The sequence below is a fragment of the Homo sapiens genome, chromosome 14, assembly GCF_000001405.40.
Source record: "Homo sapiens chromosome 14, GRCh38.p14 Primary Assembly".
Classification (NCBI taxonomy): Eukaryota; Metazoa; Chordata; class Mammalia; order Primates; family Hominidae; genus Homo; species Homo sapiens.
The window spans coordinates 55,683,999-55,693,468 of NC_000014.9; the positions used below are offsets into that span (position 1 = coordinate 55,683,999).

At 36.5% G+C, this 9,470-nt stretch overlaps 1 protein-coding gene across 43 annotated transcripts in view; it reads left to right on the top strand.

The window, feature by feature from the left end:
* KTN1 (kinectin 1) overlaps positions 1-586 on the top strand; it is a 104,378-nt gene extending 103,792 nt beyond the window's left edge. For 42 of the 43 annotated variants that reach the window (NR_073129.2, NR_175289.1, NR_175288.1 and 39 more), the window contains one exon: positions 101-581. Coding sequence is in view for 33 of the 43 variants with exons in the window: in NM_001402686.1 (NP_001389615.1) it covers positions 101-105 (5 nt within the window). In the remaining 10 variants the exon portion in view is untranslated. Of the gene's footprint in view, positions 1-100 lie in introns of all 43 variants that reach the window. The other variant, NR_073128.1, reaches the window with a different exon arrangement.
* The last annotated feature ends 8,884 nt before the right edge of the window (positions 587-9,470 follow it).

The following is a 9,470-nucleotide window of genomic DNA, read 5'->3' on the forward strand; positions in this document are numbered from 1 at the left end:
ATCAAATGGAATATGTACTTTTGGTGTTTGACAAATGTCTTCTGATTGCCTTCTGTTGCTTTGTTTTAAAGTGAAATTCATTCTTTCTGATCTTTTACAGAGTGAAGTAATTGGGAAACTGTTCATTTGAGGATAAAAAAGGCATTGTATTATATTTTGCCAAATTAAAGCCTTATTTATGTTTTCACCCTTTCTACTTTGTCAGAAACACTGAACAGAGTTTTGTCTTTTCTAATCCTTGTTAGACTACTGATTTAAAGAAGGAAAAAAAAAAGCCAACTCTGTAGACACCTTCAGAGTTTAGTTTTATAATAAAAACTGTTTGAATAATTAGACCTTTACATTCCTGAAGATAAACATGTAATCTTTTATCTTATTTTGCTCAATAAAATTGTTCAGAAGATCAAAGTGGTAAAGACAATGTAAAATTTAACATTTTAATACTGATGTTGTACACTGTTTTACTTAACATTTTGGGAAGTAACTGCCTCTGACTTCAACTCAAGAAAACACTTTTTTGTTGCTAATGTAATCGGTTTTTGTAATGGCGTCAGCAAATAAAAGGATGCTTATTATTCAAACTTGACTTGTTCTAATTTTTATTGAGCTTTAACAGATTTCATTAGTAGTACAGATCATTGTAATTTAGAATACAGCTATTAATTGGCAACCATTCAACAAGATAGGTTTATGTAGCCTCTGTAACCTTTCTAACTGATGCTCTGGGTCCTCTTCAGTTTGGTCCAATGTAAAGTGCCCCAGGAGTGCTGGGGTTTCAGAAAGGACAGAGCAAGCATTTAGGATTTCAGACTAAACACCCACACTTCAGGTAGAGGAGCTCTATTTTTACCATTACTATTTTTTTTTGAAGTAATAATAATTAACTGTTAGTTTTCTTTTTCAGGCACGGTTACACAGTTTACATGTGTTATCTTTTTTGTTGTTGTTGTTGTTGTTACTGTTTTTTTGATACAGAGTCTCACTCTGTTGTCCACGCAGGAGTGCATTGGCACTATCTGGGCTTACTGCAACCTCCACCTCCCGGTTCAAGCAATTCTCATGTAGCTGGGATTACAGGCGCCTGCCGCCATGCCTGGCTAATTTTTGTATTTTTAGTAGAAAGAGTTTTTCACCTTGTTGGCCAGGCTGGTCTCGAACTGCTGACCTCAAGTGATCCACCCATCCCAAAGTGCTCGGATTACCGGTGTGAGCCACTGTGCCCAGCCAATGAAAGTTTTTTTAATAATTTGTTAAAAACACTTCAGATGCTAAATAACCACTGAGAAATATCTTGTGCCATTGAGTACTAAAGTACCCATTAGGCTGCACTGTGGTCATCTTGTTATTTTTGTGCACATAACAGTCATGCTTCTGTCATGGGGCCTCTGCATTTTCTGTTCTCTGGGCTTGGAACTCTCCTCTGGTGTGTCAGCTTTGGCTTGCTCCTTCACTATGTTGAAATCTGCTTAAATGTCACCCTTCTAATTAAGTCTTTCCTGACTGTCCGCTATCCTTCTGCCCTCCCTATTCTGCCTTATTGTCTGTCATACTTGATTTCTACTCTCCTTGTTCCCACCAGTAAGTAAGCTCCACAAGGACAAGAAACATCTCTTTGGTTCTTTGCTGTATCTGTAGCCTGAGACAGTGCCTGATACTTCATTGTGCTCAACTATTTAAATGAGTGAATGGATAAAATTCATTTTTGGAGGTTGAAGATTATCTAAAGTGGTGCTTCCTTACCTTTTCACTTCACTGCACATATAGTATTTCTAAGGCATATAGAAATCAACTGAAGTGACTTCTTATGGCCAGTGAGGACTGGTGTGGGGATTCAAGCTACCTTTTTCTACCTTTGCTGCTTTCAGCAAATCCTTGGGAAATTGATCTGAAGGCCAGATACTACATCATCAGCCTCTTTCCTTTGTCCTTTCCCATTGCCTAAAGGTGCTCATGTTGCTGCCACCTGTAACGAACAAATTCTGCCTTCCAAGTTACAGTGTCTTCTTGCTACTCTTTCTCTCTTCAGAGCTAAGTTCCTCAGAATAATTGTGTAATTCTATTATTTTTTCAACCTTTCTGTATGTTTGAATTAAAAAAAATAAATTTCAAAGGACTCTGGGGACACAGTCCAGTCTCCTGTCAGTTTGTATCCCTTCCCTCAACATCTCAACCTTACAGTCATTCATCTTTTGCCTCTGAAGTAGCAGGAAGTTCATAACATTGCCTTTTCTAACTTGACAGCTGTAACTGTTAATGGTTCTTCTATGACATTATTAAAAGTTGTGTCCCTGATACTTGCATCAATCTGTCCTTTCTCACTACAGAATCACATAGGAAAATCTTATCACACTCTCAGTGATTGTTCAGATATGCAAAGATAATTCTGTGCTCTACGTTCATTCCCCTTACAGTTAAATATTCGCAGCTCCTTAGTTGCACTGAGTGATTAAAGGCCAAACTAGCCTCCTTGCCTCAATCCCCGACTGTCCACCTTCTCCCAGTATATTACAAACCTATCTCCAGGAGAGGAAGGGAGCATCAGAAGAGAAGGAATTCTGTGTCATCAAACTCAAATGGCTCTCCTTGCCACCATCACAGTCAACTGAGGCAGAAAGCCCCAAGAAAATTACACATTGAAGGAAGCTTACAGGAAGAGAATAAAGAATAGTCAGGGGCAGACTTCTTGATCCCCCAAAAGAGAAGAGAGAGACGTGGAAGGGAGGAGTGGGGATGCCTGTGAAGCCGGCCATACCCTTGGGTTTGGCGTAGGAAAACTAATTCATTTCCTGGAGGTAGTGATATTGTGTAAAGCATCGAGGCTTGAGCTGCCTTGCATGCGTTTCACTCTAGCTGCAAGAGGCTATGTGGTGTATAGCTGTGGGCAATAGCTGTGTTGCTCACAGAGTTAGAGCTAGATTTTTCATGTGTCTTGCATCCCGGGACAGAGACTGCATATGGGCACCTGCCACTTGTGGAATCTGCCCAGGATGAGATGTAGGGAGAAGCAGTTACCACCAGAAGGAGGCTGCAGTTATACCCTCGTTTGTTAAGACACGTTTGTCCCTTGACCTCATTCATTTGGGTCCCCAGAAAAGGAAGGGCAAAGGAAGAATGAAAGAAAAGACGATTCCTTGTTGACATTATTAAAGCCAGGGGGCAGATGGGAGATGGGTTATTACACTGGGTTGGACTGGACTTGTATTAACCGAAGTTACAGAACAGCTTTTGGGTCTGCTTAGGATGTGCAGAAGAGGGAGACTCCGCAAAGCAGAGTTGAAGACTATGGTTGGGAAAGGACACTAACTTGTTAGGCTGTTCTGCAACCTGGGTGGTAGATTTTTTTTTCTTGACTACATTTTTGTCATTTTTATTTTCCTAGAAAATCTGGCCATTTCATATTTGTTGGCAGAGTTCTACAAGGCAGCCAACATACCACTTGTACAACCTATCACATGCCAGATGTTTTTTAAGCAGTTACGTTAGTTCATTTAATCTTCCCTAGAATTTAACTGGCCAGGGGGTTGTGCTTTCATCATCTTCATTTTATAGATAAGGAAACTGAGGCACAGGGAGGATAATTAAATTAAGGTCTCACAGCTACTAAGTAGAGGAACCAGGTTTCCAACCTCCAACCTAAGCTGTCTGGCTTGATTGCCTTATTTATACTCATAAAAAAAATTTTTTTTATATATGTATGCATTTATAAATGTGAGTGTAATTATATAAATTACTGGAGTAATTTTTAAAATTAGACTATACATAGTCTGATAATTTTTAAATTTACTCATTTTTTTCCCTCCATTTGTTCCTGTTGTTAAGGTGCCTTCTCTCATTTTGTCTTGATTCTACTTTGCAAGGGATTGCCTACCTTTGTGGTTCTCAAAAGTATGGTTTGCAGTCCACTGGGAATCTCCAAGACCCTTTCTAGGAGTTTGCAAGGTCAAACTTAATTTTCATAATAAGACGTTATTTGCCTTTTTCACCATATTGAATCTGCGCTGAATGGTACCTCAGCAAGTGTTAAAAGCAGTGGCTTCCAATTGTTTGTTTGTTACTGTATTTACACCACTACTCATCCCAGTAAAAGTCCTACTACAATATCAAAGTCACCTAAGAATGTCTTCTGATGAGATCAGTAGTGATGGTAATGAATGTGATTTTGTGATATGTGTAATGAAGTGTGTAAACATTTGGAAGATCTGTATAACTCAGTGAACCAGTATTTTCCAAATTATCAATGCACAGTGTTACAAAGTCATGCATGGGTGAAAAATCCCTTCAAAAAGCAAGACAGGGCTGGGCGTGGTGGCAGGCGCCTGTAATCCCAGCTACTCGGGAGGCTGAGGTGAGAGAATCACTTGAACCGGGGAGGCGGAGGTTGCAGTGAGCTGAGATTGTGCCACTGCACTCCAGCCTAGGCAACAAGAGAGAAACTCCATCTCAAAAAAAAAAAAAAAAAAAAAAAAGGGCAAGACAAACCAATGGATTTTAATGTAACAGTGCAAAAAGTTCATTGATATCATTTCAGACTCCATATTGTGGTTAATCTTTAATAAATTACCACTTGAGTTTGGCTGTAGCATTAAAGAACATCCACAGTTGTCTGAAATGGCTGCCTTTTTTCCAAGGATATGTCTGTGTGAGGCCAGATTTTTTTCATATACTTCAACTAAAACAACATATCACAACAGATTGAATTCAGAAGCAGTTGCCTTCTATTAGGCCAGGAATTAAAGAGATTTACAAGGCCGGGTGCAGTGGCTCATGACTCATTACAGCACTATGGAAGGCCGGAGTGGGAGGATCCCTTGAGGAGGCCAGGAGTTCAAGAGCAGCCTAGGCAACATAGGGAGACCCCTTCCCTACAAAAAAGATTTGCAAATATGTAAAGTCATGCCACTCTTCTCATTATATCTTTTGAGTTTTGGAAAATGAAGTTATAGTTCATGAAAATATGTTCATTATATTGTTATTTTAAATTAGTAAACTTCCAATTTTCTTGGTTTTAATTTCTAGTACGTTGAATATTGATAGAAATAAGATTTTAAGTCTAAAGCAGTTCTGAGATCAAAAACGAGTCACTGGTCTGGCATGTTGGTTTATTTTTCCAACAGTTTTAAATTATATTGGACAACTTAGCACATGTTTTATGTATTTTGTTTTATATTCAATTCATTTATGTTTTTATACTTTTTTTATTTTCTTTGCCAACTTACCTGTAAATTTTAATTCATTTATTTTCAGTTCCTGTTTTCTAATAATTTAGGCTATACATTTTCCTCTGGACTTCTTTACCTGCACCTCAGATTTTGATATATAGGTATTTTGTTAGTCTTCCAGTTTTTAATTTTTTTAAATTGTGAATATTTCAAACATATAGAAAAGCATAGAAAATAAGAGAAAAAGTCTGTGTTCCTCCACCTTCTGTTCGCTTGAATTTTTTAAATAAAAGAAAACATTAGCTACAGTTGAAACATCTTGTATAACCCCCATCAAATTTCCCTGCATTTTCAGAGGTAGCCACTGCACTGAAGCTGAGATTTATCATTTAATTTCATGTTATTATCAATACCATAGGTAGGTATCCATAACTAATGTAATACTATTTTGCATGTTTTCAAAATTTATACAAATCATTCTGCCATTTGCGTTATTCATTCAATATTAACTTTAAAATTTATTCATTTTGAACTAAGAATATGCCACAATTTATACATTCCCACTTTCAGCTGGGCTTTCTTTAAGCTTTTTTATTTTTTTTGGAGTGTGTTATATATTTTTCACATGTGTAGATTTTTAAAGGATCCTTTTCTAATATTGCATTTTTGTCAGTGAATATGACCTATATGACACCAATTTCCTGAATTTGTGGAGAGTTCAGAAAGAAATTATAAACCAAAAAAGAAATTTATTTAGTCTTGGTTTAGAATAAGAATGTGTCAACAAGAATGTGAAGCTTTGGCAGGAAATGATTTCATTATCTGAAAGTTTGAGTTTTCAGGTTACTATACCAGACTGGTTGTTACCCTCTTCAGTTAAAAAATAAGAGGGAGTTGGGGAATATTTATTTTCCAGTGACCTCAGAACATAGGAAACAGAATCAAACAGGTGGGGAAAGGTCTTATTTAGATTTGCATTTCTGCGTTGTCTCTTGCTTTTGCTATGAAGAATCTAGCAGTTACGAGTTTATGAGTCAATAGCAGGTTCTTCCTGAGCTATTCAATACAGAGTTCTTGGGATTTCATCCAGTGCCAAACACAAAGTTCCTATTTAGTGAATGCAGTATTCATTTCAAAATATATAAAATATGTTACTGTTGAGTTAATCCACAGACTATAGTTACAGGAAATGGAAATTTGCTTACTTATGTTGATGAATTGTGTTGGTAAGTTCCATTGCCACCTAAATTGTGCAGGCTTATCAAACCTCTGCATCTAGTTTTTCTCCTTGCTAGCTATGTAAATAAAATTAAAATGTGACCGTGTTAGTCATTTCTTGCATTGCTAAAAAGAAATACCCATGGCAGGGTAATGTATAAGGAAAAGCTTAATTGGCTCATGGTTCTGCAGGCTGTACAGAAAGCAGGGTGCTGGCATCTGCTTCTGATGAGACTTCAGGAAGCCTGTAATCATGGCAGAAAGCAAAGGGGGAGCCGGAGTATTGCATGGCAAGCAGGAGCAAGAGAGAAGGGGAAGGGACTGTGCACTTTTAACAACCAGATCTCGTGTCAACTAACTGAGCAAGAACTCACTCATCATGCTAACTAAGCAAATCATGAGGGATCTGCCCCAGTGATCTGAATACCTCCTGCTAGGTAATGTAATCCCTCCACTGGGGATTACATTTCAACATGGATTTGGAGGGGACAAACATCCAAACTGTATCAGTGACTAGCAAATTCTAACCCAAATGCAATAATTGTTAGAGTTTTCTCTAACAATTCCTTTGTTGCCAATTATATAGTCAATATCTGTAAATGTTCCAAACTATTGAAAGTATGCTTTATACTTGTTAAAATCAAATTTATTAATTGATAACATTCTCAGTTCCCAAACTGTGTTTCTGGTTCAGTGGGTGTGGGTTAGGGTTCAAGAATTTGCATTTCAAACAAATTCCCGGCAGCTAATGCTGCTGGTTTGGGGAACACACTGAAAGTCATGCATATGGTTTTCAATTTGCCTTTCTTCTTTTGCAATTTCTTCACAGTTTCTTATTAAATGAGTGTTCTTGTTTTCAAGGTTTTAAAATATTTACTAAGTATTTTTATACCACTTCTATAAATTCTACAAATTTGGAGAGGAACAGAGACTGCAACATGTGTTTGGCTCCAGTTGGTGGTTCTCTTGGTGTTTCTTGATATTTTCTCATCATGTCACACAGAGAATATTTTTTTCAGAAATAAGTCAAATTGAAGCTTTTTTCCTCTTCAGTGAATTTCTTTGTTATCCACCCTGACAAAGTCTGAATATGCATGAATGCTGTTCTCCAATTGACCAATATTATGATTTTTATCCCCTCGAAGAAGGAATTGCTTGGAATAATGTAAGATGAGACAAGTGTAAGTTTTTCCCACTTTTGGTAACAAGGACAGGGTGGTTTACTCACCTAATACTATGAGGACAATATAGGAACCCAGGTATAAAAGTTTTTATGGAATCTTAGCCCTAATGTTCTGTTAGGTAACAGTCTCTATAGACTTAGTCTTCTGTTAGAACAGATAAATATGTCCAGTCAGATGAAACAGGTTTTTTTCCTGACAACTAATCCTGGTAACTTTCTGCCTGTATCTGGACACCTATTTTGAATAAACTAGCTTGCATTTCCTACCCACATTTGCATGGAGAATACAGAACTTTTGCATATGTGCTGAGCACCTGGTTTTAATATCATGAGTAGCTTTAACACATAATTGCCCCAGTTTCTGTTCACTCTCACAATGATCTAGGAGTTAACTTTACAATTTTTAACTGGATTGTGGCTGATGCCTCTATAAAGCAGTTAGCATGTATTATTAGTAATAATTACAACAACAAAATAATGGCAGTTATAATAATTGCAAACATTTATTGAGTGCTGTTTTCCAGGTACCATGCTTAGTGTTTTAAATCCATGTTTCATTTTGCTACTGGTACGTTGGAAAGTTATCTAGAAAGTTGTATTGTTGTAGGAGTTTATTCTTTGGAGTCTTTATAGAGCTTTACAGTGCCTAAGTTGAATATTTGGTAATAACTGTTTCTTAAAATTACTTTTATTTATTATTGATTTGATTGAGAATGACAGTTGTAAAATACCTGTGAGGTATAAATAATAAGAATGCAATGAGCACTTGGTTACCTGCTATCCTATTTAAAAGAGATAATGTTACCGTTACTTTGAGTTTCCTTGGATATCCTTTCCCAATCCCATCCAACTCTGACCACTCACAGATATAATCACAATTCCAAATTCGTGTATGTTACTCCTTTGTTTTTTGTAAGTAGTGTTTTTGTATAGGTTTACACATCCAATAGTACATTATTTAGTTTTATATGCTTTTGACCTTTACTAAGATGGATGATTAATGTCTTCTGTGATGTGCCTTTTTTGCTCAACATTATTTTATGAGAGTCATAAATATGGTTGCATATAGCTTGAGTTTCTCCTTCTTTTCCCTTTCTCTGTCCCCTCTCTTTTTTCCTCTTCCCCCTTCATCTTCCTATATAATGTTTAATTGAGGGAATATACCAAAATGTCCTTATCCATCTGTTCTAAATGGACAGTAACAGGGTCCATTTTTTAGAATATGAGCTATTGTGAATAATGGTACTATGTATATTCTGGTACGTATGTTCCTGTGTCTGAGGATAGGAGCTTTTCTAGGGCATATACCTAGGGATGGAACTTTGGCTTATGGAATATATTTTTACTAGGAACCACAAGCCTGTTTTCTATAGTGGTGGTTTTAATTTACATTTCCATAAAAAGTATGTGGGAGTTTCTATTGCTCTATAACTTCACAACACTTGGTATTATTCTACAAATCATTTTTCTTTTGCCAATATAGTGGGAGTTAACTGAGATCTCATGGGTTGTTTTTAAACCGTTTTATTAAAATATAATAGATGTAGAATAAATCACACATGTGTACAGTTGGATAAATTTTGCAATATGAACCACAATCAAGATAATGAATTATAAACATTACTCACAAAAGATTTCTTGTGTACCTTTGTAACTTGTCTTCTCCCCCACTTTCCTGTCTCCAAGCAACTCCTGATAATGCTTTCTCTCTATGGTAATATGCATTTTCTAGAATCATACAGTAGGTACTTATTTTTTGTCTGACATCTTTCACTCAGCATAATAAGAATCAATAGTCCCTTTTATTTCTGAGTACATGGCATTGTATGTATATACTACAATTGATTTATTCATTTATAGATGAATGTTTGTATTTTTCTAGTTTTTGCCTATTATAAATAAAGCTGCTA